Consider the following 17031-nt stretch of genomic DNA (forward strand, 5'->3'; position numbering starts at 1 on the left):
CCCTGAAGAGACGCAAAGACCACACATGTGTTTTTTCTTTATAATCAACCAATCACCAAAGGTCCTGTTAACACTCCACCTCTCCCCACCCCAACCTTCCTCAACCTGCAGACAATGTCTGTACCGTCAGCTCTCTTCCTCCTCCACTTTAAGGCTGATGTTATCTCTTCAGACTATCTGGGGTCTGCAGGCCTCAACTCTGATGCCCCCTATTTCAACAAAGCTTTGGCCTCTCAAAGGGCCCTGAGTGACTCTCCTAGAATCCCCCTCACCCCACTACAATTGCTTGCTTGAATCCAGGAGACGGCAAGCTCCATGAGGCAGGGACGTGCCTGATTATTTGTTGACCACCCTGGTCCCCAGTGCCCCACACAGGATTTGCTGCAGGAAGGCCTCCAGGCCAATGTTTACTTCAACCAGATCTCACCTGTGTACAAGAAGGTCAGGGGTGTAGGGGCTCTGCCAGCTTAGACCGGGCAGCCTGCCACCAGGCCTGGAATCTGGTGCAGCTTCAAGAAACAGTTACTCCTCCCTCCCCCGGTCTATCTATGCTTCAAACATTCCCTAGCAGTTTCTTCGAAGCACAACTGAGTCTTACAGGACCTAGTCCCTAGTGCATTCCACCCACACGTTTTAATGGAGAAAGTGCTGGGACGTATCACTGTCCTTTGATAGAGGAATTTTTCTCCTGATTTGTGCTAATAATTCATGAGGGAGGGGCCGGGCAGCTTCCAGTTTACTCTCACCTCCAAGTTTCTAAGCTCAAAACAGAGTTTTTGTTTGTACCATTGCTCCTTGGGTCCAAAAAAAAAAAAAAAAAGTTTTAAGAGAAAACATTTGCTGGTTTTCAGAGGGAGGAAAGGCAGAGATAATGAGTGCTGGCTTAAGCATGTTTGAGGAACACAGATACTCAGAAACAAAGATTTTTCAAACCACCCTGCAAGTATAAGCAGAAACTATTCCCACCTGACCTGAGCAATGAGGAAAAGGACGGACCCCTTCACAGCCCTGGAACAGCCCACTTTCAGAGCAAGCACGGGAAATGATGAAAACATTACAAATTGTGCTTAAAACCACATAAACATGGGCATAAAATATTACAAATCTTTATTCTGATTAGACTTAGAAATTCTCAGTGTGGCTTCTGTTTTAACAAACATTTGAAAAGAGACAGACCTATAAAATAGGCATTTAAAAATTACATCAGCATATTGAGTTTTACTATCTCACCTAGCAGGGCTGTCGCACACCTGAATGACCCATTTATCTCTGACTCACTGCCTCCTCTTCCATCCATTACTCGCCCATGCCTGGCACAAGGCCCCCTTGCTGGCCCTCAGCTAAGCCAGGCTTAGCCCTGATGCGCCCTCCAGCTGGAATGTTCTTCCCCCACATGGCCTGAGGCTTGCTCACTCTCTCCAGACAATACTGCATTCCTCTCCCTCCCCTTGCCTCCAAACACCCACCAGCTGAGTCCCCTTCCAGCTCTTTGCCTCCTTTGTATACATCAGATAACCTACCATGTGTATTTTAACTTTTTATTGCGTTTTCCACCCCCTCTGCAATGTAAGCCTCAGAAAAGCAGGGACTTCTGTCCATTCTCTTCACTGCTCTGTCCCCATCACCGAAAATTGCCCCCATCACGTAGTAGGTGCTCAATAAATACTTAGTGAATTAAAAAGCTGGTCAGGCGCAGTGGCTCACACCTGTAATCCCAGCATTTTGTGAGGCCAAGGGAGGCAGATCGCTCTCAGCTCCAGAGTTTGAAACCGGCCTGGCCAACATTGCAAAACCCATCTTTCCTAAAAATACAAAAATTAGCCAGCGTGGTGGTGTGAGCCTTTGGTCCTGGCTACTTGGGAGGCTGAAGCTGGAGAATCGCTTGAACCCGGGAGGCTGAGGCTGCAGTGAGCCGAGATTGTGACACTGCACTCCAGCCTGAGTGACAGAGCAAGACCCTGTCTCAATAAATAAATAAAGCTGACTGATCAATGGATCTGTGGGAAAATGCTTATTTTCCTAACTTAAAACATCAGGCTTATATCCAAGGGCTCTCTGGTTAAAAGGTTCCTCCTTTTACAGCTTGAAAAGGTTGGCTTTTGCTGATATAAATCAGCATGCAAAGGGGACCCAGCACTGTTCAAATAAGGTCAGAGGCAAACCCAGGTTGCAGGAAGAGACAGACATCCAAGTGACACGGCAGATGGCTGGCATCCAGAGGCCCTTTTGCAATCTGGAATTTAAATGGCCAAGACAAGAAATGGGATGTTAAATGTGGGCCTCAGGAGCAACACCTCAGTCTCCAGCTACCCACAGACAACTGCACCACAGCGTGAGAGCACGTTAGCAGCTACCAGAAGCCTGGTCACCAATTCAGGTTCATCAGACAAAAATCACGAGAGGTGCCGAACGCCCCAGATCGCAATCAAAAGGCAATGGGAAAGGAAATGTGGACAGCAGAATACCTTCCCCTGGGGGCCCTGAAAGTAGACTATCTCATTATTTGCCAATTCCATACTTGTGAATTCGTCTACTCGCTAAAATTTATATGTAACCCCAAAATCAATACACGCAGCCCTTTCAGGTTCATTCACCGACATACACAGGAGCGACGTTCTGCCTCCTGCTTTCAGTGCCCATCCTGTAAACAAGTGTCCTTTTCATGGTCTACTTAGTGCCATGTCTTTCACACTTTTGTGCTTTCTTTGGTGATTTTGCTGTTAAAATGGCCCATAAGGGAAGTGCAGAAGTGCTGTCTAGTGAGCTTTCCTGAGCACGAGCAGGCTGTGATGTGGCTTACAGAGCAAATACATGTTAGGTGAGTGGCCCTGAGTTCAATGCTAATGAATCAATAGTATATAGTAAATAAAGTGTCTTTTAATGGAAACTGAAAAGATTAATATTGATCAGTTGATGAAAATGTGACCACAGGCTTGCTCCAAGCCCTGCATTTTCCCTACAACAATGGTTCCGTATTCACTAATTCAGTGTTCACAACTTTATGGAATACAAGTACCACAAAAACAAGACTGGGCACGGTGGCTCACACCTGTAATCCCAGCACTTTGGGAGGCTGAGACAGCAGTGGCGGTGGGGAGGGGGGTAGCGACGACACGAGATCCGGAGTTCAAGACCAGCCAGTTCGAGACCAGCCTGGCCAACATGGTGAAACCCCATCTCTACTAAAAATACAAAAATTAGCCAGGCATGGTGGCGCACGCCTGTAATCCCAGCTACTCGGGAGGCTGAGGCAGGAGACTGGCTTGAACCCGGGAGGCAGAGGTTGCAGTGAGCCGAGATCACGCCATTGCACTCCAGCCTGGGCGACAGCGTGAGACTCCGTCTCAGGAAAAAAAAAACAAAACAAAACACTTGACTGTATATTAAAATGGCTCATTTTCCTGCCCCCATCCTTGGGCATACTCCCCTTGACCACCCCAGTGGCTCACTCCACCTGTTCTTCTGCAAACAGAGGCTCCCCTGCAGGCATCTGCTCAGGTGTCCTCCAGCAGCGCCCCTCCAGTGTCTCTGTCACACTTCTTACTGTAGCTATTACCACCAGTAATTATTACCCCCGCTCTGCTACTCACCCCAACCAAAAACGTAAACTCCTGGAGGGCAAGGTCTTTGTCTTGTTCACCCACATAAATGCAGTGGCCAACAGTGTCTGACAAGCAGTTGGTGCCCAGCATGAAGGGTGAAATCCCACCTGGCTCCTTTGTGACAGAAAACACCTATTAAACCTATGCCTCCCAGTGCCAAATGTAGCTAACACTTGAAACGTGTCTAGTCTCAACTGAAATGTGCCCTAAGTGTAAAATATGCCAAAGATCTTAAAGACTTAGTACAAAAATATATGTAAAATATCAGTAATTTTTTAATAGCAAGTCCACGTTGAAATTGTACTGTCTTGGATATTCCGGGTTAAACAAAATATTTAAATTCATTTCAGCTGTTTCTTTTTCGTTTTTAATGCGTCTACTAGGGAGTTTTTAATTGCTTATGTAGCCTGTATTATATTTCTATGAGTCAGTCTTGGTTATAATACCGTGAAAAGGCCAGCCAGCAACCCAGCCCAGCCCTGGCCACCCCCCTCACACCCTCCAGTTCGCCTCTCACACGGTTCCAAATGCTCTCCAGAGCCAGGCAGGAAACACCTGTCTGGTGGCTTCCTGTGACACACAAATACCTAAGTGTATTCAGAAATGGGATTCAGAAGTAAGGGCTAAAAAGAGTTTAACAGATTAACCAATTTCACCCCAAGAAAGTAAGCACACTTGGGGCTGAGATGTGGGCCATCTTGTTCATTACCCAGAACAGTGGCCGGCACATAGTAGGCGAGCAACTAGAATCAATCAATGCTTTTAAAAAAAAAAAAAAAAGACTATTTCCAGGATGGGTATGGCAACTCATGCCTGTGATCCCAGCACTTTGGGAGGCCAAGGTGGGAGGATCACTTTGAGGCCTGGAGTTCAAGACCAGCCTGGTCAACAGAGCTAGATCCCATCTTTACAAAAAAGCTTAAAGATATGAAAAATTAGCCAGGTATGGTGGCATGCACCTGTAGTCTCAGCTACTGGGGAGGATGATGCAGGAGGGTTGCCTGAACCCAGGAGTTTGAGGTTGCAGTGAGCTGTGATTGCACCACTGCACTGGGATAATAGAATGCAGGAACTGGAGGAGATCTGGAAAATGCCTGGGAGTATAAGATGGGAGCCCTGCCTCTGAGGCGTCATAGTACCAGAAGATGCTGAGCCTCTGAGTCCTGATCTGGAAAGTAAATAGTCCCTACCCTCCTAGCTCTCCAGGCCAGAACATTCTATGATGACAGCAGTTTAATACAGTGGCAACTGGACTGTTTAATATAGTGGCAACTGGGCTCTTGAAACGTGGCTATTGTGACTGAGAAATGGAATTTTTAGTCTTACTTAATTTTAATTAAACTCATTAGCCAGGCATGGTGGTGCACACCTGTAATCCCAGCTACTCAGGAAGCTGAGGAATGAGAATCACTTGAGCCCAGGAGGTGGAAGTTGCAGTGAGCAGACATCACACCACTGCACCCCAGCCTGGGCGACAGAGTAAGACTCTGTCTCAAAAAAAAAAAAATTTTAATTAAATTCAAATAGCCATACGTTGCACATGGCTACCATATGGGACAGCATAGCTCTAGGCTGGTGTGACAGGATGGAATGAGCTAAAACGTGTAAAAAACACTCTGGAAATGCTAAAGCCCTATAGGAATGGTAAGAGTTTTGTTGTTTAATGCATTAGAAATCTGAGATCCTGAGAGGTTTCAGTTACCCCACATCACAGACAGACTCAATTCATAAGTGAAAGAAATGTAAACAAACACAGATTTTACTTTACTTGGGGAGAAGGACAGCCCATGCTCTTGTATACCTACGATGGAAATGGAGGTGGTTAGCGATAACCCTTCACGCAACTCAGAGCAACAGGCTTTTTCATCCACATTGCTGCATCCAGATTTGGTAACTCCAGGGCCTACGCACGCAGCAGAAATCAAGGCTGCCAGTGAATCCTGGTAGATTATATTCCTATCTCCCACACTCTCACTCTTAGGGACCATGTGCTTCTTGTCCCTTCCACTGACGTTTGCTATTTCTCCTGCTACAGAAACAGACTTTGCCAACAGCTCCCTGCATTGGGAAACTGCGCTGAGAGTCCCTTTGGGGTTCTGACAGTCAATTCACAGTCTCCTGAATACATATAGTGGTTGTTCAAATTTGCTGATGGGTGGTAAAAGCAACCACTACTGGAAAGGGGTGGGAACTAATCGGAGGCTGTGATGAATGCTAACTTGTTTACACTCCCATTGGAAAATGCACATGAAACCCAAATCAAGTTTTAGTCTCCCAAGATTTTTCCCAGCAGGAAAGGCCTTCCCAGTCTAAACAGCTTTTTGTTACCATTATAATTATATTCTATGCACTAGCAGACAATAAAGAAATGAGCAGGGAAGCAGAAGGAGGCGGGGGGTGAGTTATTAGGACAGGAAAGTCAAGAAATGGTCGAAGTCAGAGGAAACAACACAACACTCTCCAGGACAAATGGCAGGAACTGCCCTGAATATGTAAGAGATTTTGTGAGCTCATTCATTATTCTCCATTAAAGAGTTCGGCTAATTTTCCCCTGTCCTTTCAGTCACATTAAAACTTGGGGCTTAAGCGTTGTGTAACGCTCTGCACAGACTTGGTTTAGGCCCCATGGAGCTTCCATAATGAAAAACAACATGTGCAATTGGATCCACATGCGTTCCGCCCACAGGTTGAGCTCAGTGGTGTATTTTATTCTGTCAGGGAGCTGTTGCTCAACTCCCAAGGAGGGGGGTCCAGCAATAACACTCCAGCTATGAAGACAAAATTAACCAGCCTTGTGCCGGTGTGAGTGACATCACTTCACCAAGAACAGGAACTCAGCTCTCTGTACCTCAAGTTCAGTCTCCCGTCTGTTGATATCATCCGTGGACTGATTTAACTTCTCCAGTTCTCCCTGGTGAAGAAAAGAGGGAGAAAAAAAGACTTAAGGGATCCGTCTTTTGTTTCCAATATAACTCAGTCCATAACCTGAAAAATTACCCCAGCCCAATTTGCAGGAAAAGGGAAGAATCAGAATTAATTCTTACGGCAAACAGTTGAGGCTTGACTAGAAAAGCAAATGAATGTCGGCATTTCTGAAACCATTTTCTTGAGGGTGTCCCTTTTGACAATGTCTTCAGAGACATTTGGAATTTGTCAGAGGTCAACTATTCCAGGTACATGCCTTCAGGTAAACCCCACCTGTTACAAATGGTTTAATGGCCTAATCAAAACAGTACCATCTGCCTTGAGCAAGAACTTTGCTTAGAAAACAATAAAAGACAATAAGCAAGGCCAAGCCAAAAATATAAACCCAGTGAAATCATCAAGGGCAGAATTCTGGTATTAACTCACCAGAATTATTTTTCTGTAAAGGGTGAAAATCTTTTCACACTGCCAATTATTCAACCTACTTAGCTGGACGTTTTAAACTAGCTTTAATCCCATTCCTTTCAATAAACATTTACAAACTGACATTTTGTAAAAAAAGTATCCAACATGAACTTAACTCATCATTACTATGCAAACAAAGGATCTTGCTAACATAATCCCATACCAGTAACACACGATTTATTCCAAACCAATTACTTTAATTAATAGCATTCCTAATGCAAGGATTTTTTTTCCACCTGATCTTTATCTTGCTAAGCTGACAAAACAATTCATTTAAACCCCAACCACTGAGTTAAGTGAGCTTTTAAATTGATCTGTGCACTAAAAAACCAATTAGGTATCCAGAAATTACAGAGCATGCTTAAAAGCAATTTTTTTAAAAAAATGATTTATTGAAAAGGTAGAAAAAAAACGGGCCTTAGAAAGGGATTTGCTCTGCTTTTTGCTTAGGGGTGAAGAGGTGAAACTGTCACTCCTAGATCTCGGCTTGGAAATTGTTTTTTAATCATCTCTCTTGGAAATGGAGGCACAGCCAGCCAGCCCAATCCCCTCGCCGCCTCCACGCGTCAGCTTTGCGCATCAGTTGTCCCCGATTTCTTTTCATGCCCAACCTCACAACAAGGAAAAGCAGGGTTTTAAGCAATTTCAAGCCAGGCAGAACGTTGAGCCAGTGATGACAATAAGCCGCTCAGTTCGCTAACAATCAATCAGAGAAGGAAAACGGCTCAGGCCGGGCACCTTGGCAAGTGAGGACTCTGCACCCGGGGCACCGGTGCCAGCCCGCGCTGCAGGGCAACGCCCACCCGCCCACGGTGCCCGGCGCCCACGCGGGCGACACCTCCTCGCAGAGCCTGGACGCCGTGCCATGCCCGCGGTGCCGCGGCCGGGCAGGGGTACCCCCGAGGATACCATGGCGCCCCCGCCCCCTTTTTCCCTTTGTTGCACATCCACCCGAACCACCAGGCACGCTGCACCGACCCCGATCCTGCTACGGGTCGGCGGGGGACTCCCCGCAATAGAGTCAGGCCGCATCCACGCGGGCACTGTAGCCTCCTCATTGTGGAGACGATGAAACGGAGCATACAGACCGTCTCCTGCCACCCTATGTGGCCGCCAGTCCCCGGACCACAGTTACTGGGGGCTGCGAAGTGGCTGTACGCGTAGACACCGACCTCCGTAGCAGCCCTCGCGAAGCCCGGATGCGGGGCGACCCCGCGCGCCCTACCTGGATCCGGGGATCCACCTCTTCTTCCTCCTCCAGCCCCTGCTCCATCCCCTCTTCCTCCTCCTCCTCCTCGTCCCGGGCAGGCGGCAGGATTTCGGCTGGCTCCTCCGAGCGGCTCCGCTTCAGTGCCGCGTCCATGCAGGCAGCCGGCACGCGCGCCGCGCAGTGGGCTCCGGAGCGCCCCGGGGGTCGCGGCTGCCACAGGCTGGGCTGGAGCCGCCTCGCCACAGCCGGGCACGGTCGGGGAGCCGCCGGGGCCGACACCCGGGAGACGCAGCTCGCCGATGCGGATACCTCCGGCCGCGGCGGAGCAGAGGAAATGGGCGCGGCCGCCCCCTTTCTGCCGCGGCAGTCAGCGCAGCGCCCGCTCCGCCCCCGTCCCGCCCCGGCCTCGCGTTCCGCCGCCAGTCCCAGCTATCCAGGTCTCCGTCGCAAAACCCCAGCTCCCTCCACATCTCCAAGGTGGCAAAATAGGACAGCCCCCACCCCCTTGTAACTTAGCAGCTCGGATATATCTCAACTACGTAACGCAAGCCTCCCGCTTTCGGGAGTCCCCTCCTCCAGCCCTCCTCCGAGGCTCGTTGTTTGTGTGGTAGGGAGGCGTGGGTGTTTTCACACTGAAGTCGCCTTCTGAAGCCTACGCTCAGTGACCCTGGCCCTCAGGACCAAGACTTGCCGAAACCCTATACCCAAAGCACACTCATCCTCTTGAGCGAACCTTGGGAATGGCGGAGGTTCCGTGCACTGATGCATTGCCGAAGGCTGCGGCCTCTCTGGGCGAGCCCCATACCGAAACACAGAGGTGCGGCGGTCCTACCTGAATAGCCAGGAGCATGGAGAATGCATTGAGCTGGGATTTAAGGAGGTGGCAAGTGTAACCCCTGTTGATGGGCACACTCTGGCCAAGAATTTATGAATTAGTGAGACTTTCTGCCCACCATCAACAAGTAGGGAGACAGAGTTGGCCTGGCAGACACAGCATCCGAAAAGGCCAAACTGAAGAGGCACGTGTGTGTGCTTTTATGAAATGTCAGGGCCACTGTGATGTCAGGGGAACGCAAAGGATGACCTTGGCAAAGCAGATGAGCACATGGCTGCTCACGTCTCCTTGCCTTGAGAAATGCAGAACGTGCACATGTCCTACACGGAGGCCTGTAGCCCATCGGCTCTGAGTTTGGAGGACAAATTTGCTTGAGAAAGGAGCTTCTTTCTGAGAACCTATCATCAAAGCCACCTTACAAAACCTGGGTCTGGCACAACGTGGTGGCTCGTATCTGTAATCCCAGCTCTTTGAGATGCCAGGACACAAGGATCACTTGAGGCCAGGAGTTCAACACCAGCCTGGACAATACAGCCAGACCCCTTCTCAAATGAATAAATAGTCCTGCTCCTGGTGGTTTTATCAGAAACTAGGCTAGAGGGTTACTCCTTGGGCAAGGCACCACCCCATACACGCTGGCACTGTAGTCCACTGTCAAAGGAAATTTGTCCTGTCTCCTGGAGGTAGTGCCATGGTTTGTTTCTAAAAAGGTCAGACCTGTTCATTGCTCTTTAAATCAAGGATGAGTCAGCAATTCTGTGAGAGGTGCTTCAAAGCTCCTTGCTAAAGACATAGTTGCTTTTGGTTTTCCAATGATAGATGAAGCCAGGAACAAGATAGCCATAGGGGTCACTTTGGAACACAGGAGCCACCAACCTTCTCTGGTGGCTTGGAATTGAGCCTCCAACTTTGCAGGTACATCCTAGCTCTGAATGAACTGAGAGACAGAGTTTGAAATAAACAGAACTCTGGGGTCAGCCCTGACTATGATAAATGCTTCTCAGCTAGCAGAACCCTATCCTCTCCATTCTAAATGGCAAACTCCAAACTACATTCCTGCTTAAGCTTAGGTCAAGAGCAAAATACATCTATGAGACATAGGCCAACTGCTCAAGAACATCAGTTCAGACTTTTGTTGTCTTATTTTTTGGAGATCTGGGCCAGCTATAGTGTTAATCCTAATAGTCTTTCTAAAGATAAAATGAGAAAAATAAATAAACCACAGGCAGTACTATATACAGTCAACCCTCCATAGCCTCTCAGGTTCCACATGTGTAAATTCAACTAACCACAGATAGAAAATATTTGGGGGAAAAAAACACAACAATTAAAAAAATGCATATTTAAAAATACATGGCCAGGAGTGGTGGCTAACACCTGTAATCCTAGCATTTTGGGAGGCTGAGGCAAGGAGGATCACTGGAGGCCGGGAGTTCCAGACCAGCCTGGGCAACAAAGCGAGACTGCCTTGCTCTCTAGAAAAAAAAAAAATACAGTATATGACAACTATGTACATATTTGCATTGTATTAGGTATTGCAGGTAAGAAATCTAGAGCTGACTTAAAGTATACAGGAGGGGCTGCTCATGGTGGTTCATGCCTGTAATCTCAATACTTTGGAAAGCCAAGGTGGGTGGGTTGCTTGAGCTCAGGAGTTCAAGACCAGCCTGGACAACATGGTGAAACACCATCTCTACAAAAAATACAAAAAATTCGCCAAGTGTGGTGGCTCATGCCTGTAGTCACAGCTATTTGGGAGGCTGAGATGGGAAGATTGCTTAAGCCCAGGAGGTAGAGGTTGCAGTGAGCTGAGATTGCACCACTGCCCCCCAGCTTAGGTGACAGCAAGACCCTGTCTCAAAATAAATATATATATATAAATAATAAAGTATACAGGAGGGGCCAGATGTGGTGGCTCATGCCTGTAATCTCAGTCCTTTGGGAGGCCGAGGCAGGAGAGACGATCGCTTGAGGCCAGGCGTTTGAGACCAGCCTGGACAACAAAGCAAGACCTGGTCTCTAGGCCAGGCATGGTGGCTCACATCTGTAATCCTAGCACTTTGGGAGGCCGAGGCAGGTGGATCACCTGAGGTCAGGAGTTTGAGACCAGCCAGGACAACATGGTAAAAATACAAAAATTAGCTGGGCATGGTGGCACATGCCTGTAATCCCAGCTACTCGAGAGGCTGAGGCAGAAGAATCGCTTGAACCCAGGAGGCAGAGGTTGCAGTGAACCGAGATGATACCACTGCATTCCAGCCTGAACGACAGAGTAGGACTTTCTCTCAAAAAAAAAGAAAAAAGAAACACCTCATCTCTAATAAAAATTGTTTTAAATTAGCAAGGCATGGTAGCACATGCCTGTAGTTCCAGCTACTCTGGAGGCTGAGGTAGATCACTTGAGCCCAGGAAGTCAAAGCTGCAGTGACCCCGATCATGCCACTGTACTCCAGCCTGGGTGACAGAGGGAGACCCTATCTCAAAAAAAAAATGTTTTTAATGAAAAAATAAATTAAATAAAGTATACAGGAGGTTGTATGTAGGTTATATGTAAACACTGCCATTTTCTACAGGGGACATAAGCATCTCAGATTTTAGCATTGCAGGGGTCCAGAAACCAATCCCCCAGGGATATCAAGGGACAACTGTATATATTCCCTATTGGCACATATGTAGTGCACATAAATGCATAGCAAAAGGCCTGGAAGGATTTATACCCAGTAAAGAGTGGCTACCTCTGGGAAAAAGGGAGCAGGGCGTGGCCTAGGATTGTCTGGGATGGGGGCAGGGGATCAAAGGAATGTTAGTTTCTCAGTAATGTTTTTATTTTTCACAAGGAAGATATGTTTATGATTGTTTTGTGGAATTTAAAGATAAATTTAAAATAATGCATACTGGTCAGGTATGGTGGCTTATGCCTGTAATCCCAGCTACTCTGGAGGCTGAGGCAGGAGAATCACCTGGACCCAGGAGGCAGAGGTTGTAGTGAGCCGAGATGGCACCATTGCACTCCAGCGTGGGCGATAAGAGTGAAACTCCGTCTCAAAAAAAAGAAAGAAAGAAATGAGAAAGCGTACCACATATACTTTTGGGGGAAAAGCACTCCAGAGACTGCAGCAGCATGTGCAAAGGTCCTGAGGTGGGAATATGCCTTGGGTGTTGGCAAAAAAGCAAGGAGATCCATGTGGGTAGGACAGAGACAGCCAGGGAGAGAGGGAGGGAGATGAAATCAGAGGCAAGCATGTGGGTAGGCCACGGAGATGCTTTAGGTCATGGTAAGGAATTTGGATTTTGTTCTGAGTGAGTGCTCCTGTAATAACTCTGGCTAGTGTATGAGAAATTGACTCGGTGGACATTGAGGAGCTAGGGTCAGAGGAGACAAAGGAGATCCATTAGCCTGATGATCAGCCTCTTCTGATTGCTTCTGTTTTTTCAGCAAAGTAATGAGCCACATCATCAGCTGAGAATGAGGGGATGTGGGGCAGAGGGCAATGGAGGTTGGAGGAGAGAGGCTTTGTGAAAGAGCTTGCAGGGACAGTTGGTGACTGAGTTGACCATGGGAATATATTATAATCGCCAGGTTGCGCTAAGGACCCACCTATGGTTTGAGAGTCCCAGTGAACCCAGTCAGCAAGGACGAGTGGATTTTCCTATAGTATAGTCTCCAAATCATTCCCATCTTTCTAACCCTTGATTCAGGGCTTCATCATGGCTCCCTAGACTCTTTTACAGTCCCTCACCCTCTTATGTCCACACTTCCCATTTGATCTAGCTTAGATTCCATTGTCCATCATTAAAATCACCACACTACAGTCAACCACAACTCCCTCACGCTTCTCCCCGACCACTGTAAGCACTTGGCATAATCCCAACCCTGGTTCAATCCCACAGTCTTACTACTTTTTACCTGTACTTAGTAGCTAAGCTAAAGTGCTGGAATTATAGGCGTGAGCCACCACACTCAGCCAAAGAGTTGGGGTTTTTTTTAGTTTAGTTTTTTTTTTTTTTTTTTTTTTTGGGACAGAGTCGCGCTATGTCACCCAGGCTGGAGTGCGGTGGTGTTAGCTCACTGCAACCTCCGCCTCCTGGGTTCAAGCTATTCTCCTGCCTCAGCCTCCTGTGTAGCTGGGATTATAGGCGCCTGCCACCACACCCAGCTAATATTTATATTTTTAGTAGAGATGAAGTTTCACCATGTTGGCCAGGCTGGTCTTGAACTCCTGATCCACCCACCTCAGCCTCCCAAAGTGCTGGGATTACAGGCGAGAGCCACCGTGCCCGGCCAAGAGTTTTTATTTAATGTTTTTAAACTGAAGTTTGCAAGTGAAAGTGATCAACAACATTAATTCATTTGTATTTTTGTTCTGTTTTTTGTTTTTAGATCTAGATCTGCAGAAAGCAACATTAATTCAGTACACTTTTCAGCCCCTACTATATGCATACACTATTTCTGGGGCCAGTTTGAGGGTCCCAAACATGTAGATGACAAATTCCTAGTCCTTTACTTGGGGAGACAGGCCCTCATGAAACCTGGGCCCCAGGCCAGGTCTCACACCTGTAATCCCAGCACTTTGAGAGGCCAAGGGAGGAGGATCGCTTGAGGCCAGGAGTTCAAGACCAGCCTGGGCAACATAGTAAGAGCCTCCCCACATCTCTACCAAAAAAAAATTTTTAATTAGCGGAGTGTGGTGGTGTGTACCTATAGTCCTAACTACCCAGGAGGGTGAGGCAGGAGGATCCCCTGAGCCCAGGAGCTCGAGGCTGCAGTGAACTAAGGAAGTGCCATGGCACTATAGCCTGGGTGACAGAGTGAGACCCTGACTCAAAAAAAAAAAAAAAAAAAAAAAGTGCCCCAAAGCAGCAGCCAAGTCAATCCCTCATTGTGAAGTTAAGACCCTTTCTGTCAAATTTCAATGCCATTTAAATTAAGATTCCTTGCAATGCCAATTTTTTTTTTTAATGCTTTGTGAGCTAGGCGTGCTGGCCCACATCTGTAATCCCAGCACTTTGGGAGGCCAATGTGGGAGGACTGCTTGAAGCCAGGAGTTCAACACCAGCCTGGGCAACATAGCAAGACCCCATGTCTACCAAAAAATACAAAAACTAGCTAGGTGTGGTGGTGTGCACCTGTAGTCCTAACTACTCCAGAGGCTGAGATGGGAGGATTGCTTGCACCCAGGAGGTTGAGGCTGAAGTGAACCAAGACTACACTACTGCATTCCAGCCTGGACAACAGATAGGGACCCTGTTTCTAAATAAATACATTAAATTAAATTAAATGCTTCGTAACTACCTGTTAACTCCTAGAACAGAAACTGCTGTCTGGACTAAGAATGAATCTGCATTCACATCACACTCTGGTGTCAATATCGGAAGAAACTGATAACTAGCATCCCCTCTTTCTCCACCAGTGATATTTACGTGGCACTTTAGGTCAGAGGCTGCAAACTGGAAGCGACTGGTGGGATCAGGCCTGGGGTATGTGCTGCCTGGCTGACATAGCCTTTATAAATTTGAGCCAACAGTTAAAACTAACATGAAGGAGGCTTGCAGCAGTGTGGGGTGGGGAGGGACTCATGCATGGGTGCGCAGCCACCACACCCCACCCCCATCCCTTGCACTAGCAAGGTCCCCCGAAAAAAAAAAAACCTAAACATGAAAACAGTGACCTAATATGAAAATGCAGACATCTCTGATTGGCAAGAGTGTGGAGAAGATGTGAGGAGTGGCTGGCTGGCCCCTTTAGGATGGCATGTAGTCTCAAATTAACCTCAGAACCCTATTGGCAGACCACTTACACCTGGCAGGCCACACACAGGTAAATGTCTGACCTCTCCCCAGAGCCCTCATGGTAAGGTGTTGCAGGAAAGCTGGCTCGTAGGTCTTCCTGCCAAATCTCTCTTCTCTTCCCAGCGACCCCTAAGGATCATGGCACATAGCAAGGTGGAAGAGAATTTTAAGGTAGACCATAAACCCTTCAACAATATTTTTTAACCCCAAATGACTGGTTCTAAGAATTCAAGAGTCTATAGAAGCCAGTTCTTTGAAAGGGATCAGAGCCTCCACATTAAAGAGGCATCTGTTTAATTTAGCGATTCAGTGACATCAGTGTGTTGCCAAATTGTCTTCCAATGTGGCCACTCCCCTCTAAGGAGAACCTTTATTTGTGTCTAAATTGAATTAAACTTGTCTCTTGACCCAGATGAATTACAGGCCACAGCACCTAGAGAATCCAGGAAAGAGATTTTCAGTGTATATCTGTAGTCTTACAGGACCTACAGATATTTAGGATGGTGCTGGAATCCTGGAGATGGAAAAAGTGTTCTACTAAAAAGAAGAGCCCAGGTGCGGTGGCTCACACCTGTAATCCCAGCACTTTGGGAGGCTGAGGCAGGTGGATCACCTGAGGTCAGGAGTTTGAGACCAGCCTGACCAATATGGTAAAACCATCTCTACTAAAAATACAAAAATTAGCCTGGCACTGTGGCATGCGACTGTAGTCCCAGCTACCAGGGAGGCTGAGACAGGAGAATTGCTTGAACCCAGGAGGCGGAGGTTGCAGTGAGCCAAGACGGCGCCACTGCACTCCAGCCTGGGTGACAGAGCAAGACTCTATCTCAAAAATAAATAAATAAATAAATAATAAAAAGAAGAAAGAGTGCTTGCTTCGGCAGCACATATACTAAAATTGGAATGATACAGAGAAGACTAGCACGGCCCCTGCACAACCATGACATGCAAATTTGTGAAGTGTTCCATAAAAAATTAAAAAAAAAAAGAAGAAGAAAGATCCTATTGAAGTGACGGCCTTTGCTAAAAAAAGGGGGGAAAAAGAAGAAAGAAAGTTCTATACCCTGCAAATCAATGAGCATAACATTTTGCAGACACTATTCTAGAATGGGATTTTAAGGAGGAGAGAATACTTCTGTGTCCCGAGAAGAAAAATGACTCATCACCATGACCCAGCTTGGGTTAACCAAGAACAAATCATCTCAGCACAGCCCTCACTTCCTTATCCATGGCTTATTAGTCTAGGAAATCTAAGGAAGGAAATAGGCAAGATAGACAAAGATAAATGGTACAGGAAAAGGCCACTTAAATAAATCCACTTATAAAGGAAGCCAAAATTCCATATTAAAATGGTGAAGAAAGGTATTTATTAGGACTTTACTCTGGAAGATAAAACTTAAAATAATGTTAAGAAATTTTTCTTGTATTTTAAAAATACAAGAAATATTTATTTATCTGACAAGTATTTATTGGCCATCTATTATGTGACAGCCTCTGGCAAGTGAAAATATGACAGTGAACAAAGGAGACAAAGCATCTGCTCTAGTGGAGCTTATAGTCCAAGGGAAGACAGACAAATGGTTAAATACATAAAAAAGCAACATAGGCCGGCATGGTGGCTCACACCTGTAATCCCAACACTTTGGGATCACCTGAGATCAGGAGTTTGAGACCAACCTGGCCAACATGGCGAAACCCCGTCTCTACTAAAAATACAAAAATTAGCCAGGCGTGGTGGCAGGCACCTGTAATCCCAGCTACTCAGGAGGCCGAATTGGGAGAATCACTTGAACTCCATAGGCGGAGGTTGCAGTAAGCCAAGATCGCGCCACTGTACTGCAGCCTGGGTGACAGGAGAGAAACCCTGTCTCAAAAAATAAAAAAAAATTAGGCCAGGTGCAGTGGCTCACACCTGTAATCCTAGCACTTTGGGAAGCTGAGGCGGGCGGATCACCTGAGGTTGGGAGTTCAAAACCAGCCTGGCCAACATGGAGAAACCTCGTCTTTACTAAAAATACAAAATCAGCTGGGCATGGTGGTGCATGTCTGTAATCCCAGCTATTCGGGAGGCTGAGGCAGGAGAATCACTGGAACCCGGGAGGCGGAGGTTGTGATGAGCCGAGAGCACACCACTGTGCTCCAGCCTGGGCAACAAGAGTGAAAGTCCGCCTCAAAAAATAATAAATAAATAAATAAACAATAAA

At 47.0% G+C, this 17031-nt stretch overlaps 1 protein-coding gene and 1 pseudogene across 7 annotated transcripts in view, besides 4 other annotated features; one reads left to right on the top strand and one right to left on the bottom strand.

Moving 5' to 3' along the window:
• The window catches only part of SH3BP5 (SH3 domain binding protein 5), an 87028-nt gene that overhangs the window by 69701 nt on the left and 296 nt on the right, over positions 1-17031 (bottom strand). For 2 of the 7 annotated variants that reach the window (XM_047449242.1, XM_011534251.3), the window contains exons 1-2: positions 9035-9214; positions 6451-6513 (exon numbers count right to left, since the gene is read on the bottom strand). In XM_047449242.1, coding sequence (XP_047305198.1) covers positions 6451-6513; positions 9035-9052 — 81 coding nt within the window. In that variant the 5' untranslated portion in view covers positions 9053-9214. Of the gene's footprint in view, positions 1-6450; positions 6514-6646; positions 6801-8217; positions 8534-8935; positions 9215-17031 lie in introns of those variants that run through there. The other 5 variants (XM_047449241.1, NM_004844.5, XM_047449240.1 and 2 more) reach the window with 4 other exon arrangements.
• Positions 4018-4207: an enhancer, noted in NCBI's record as "active region_19530". NCBI's record gives its function as "activates an Ori minimal core promoter by ATAC-STARR-seq in GM12878 lymphoblastoid cells {active_cell/tissue: GM12878}" and the evidence as "EXISTENCE:reporter gene assay evidence [ECO:0000049][PMID:35858748]".
• Positions 8102-8161: a silencer, noted in NCBI's record as "silent region_14103". NCBI's record gives its function as "represses an Ori minimal core promoter by ATAC-STARR-seq in GM12878 lymphoblastoid cells {active_cell/tissue: GM12878}" and the evidence as "EXISTENCE:reporter gene assay evidence [ECO:0000049][PMID:35858748]".
• Positions 8242-8641: a silencer, noted in NCBI's record as "silent region_14104". NCBI's record gives its function as "represses an Ori minimal core promoter by ATAC-STARR-seq in GM12878 lymphoblastoid cells {active_cell/tissue: GM12878}" and the evidence as "EXISTENCE:reporter gene assay evidence [ECO:0000049][PMID:35858748]".
• Positions 14557-14606: a silencer, noted in NCBI's record as "silent region_14105". NCBI's record gives its function as "represses an Ori minimal core promoter by ATAC-STARR-seq in GM12878 lymphoblastoid cells {active_cell/tissue: GM12878}" and the evidence as "EXISTENCE:reporter gene assay evidence [ECO:0000049][PMID:35858748]".
• RNU6-454P (RNA, U6 small nuclear 454, pseudogene) lies at positions 15696-15797 on the top strand (annotated as a pseudogene).

The sequence above is a fragment of the Homo sapiens genome, chromosome 3 (genome assembly GCF_000001405.40).
Source record: "Homo sapiens chromosome 3, GRCh38.p14 Primary Assembly".
Classification (NCBI taxonomy): domain Eukaryota; kingdom Metazoa; phylum Chordata; class Mammalia; order Primates; family Hominidae; genus Homo; species Homo sapiens.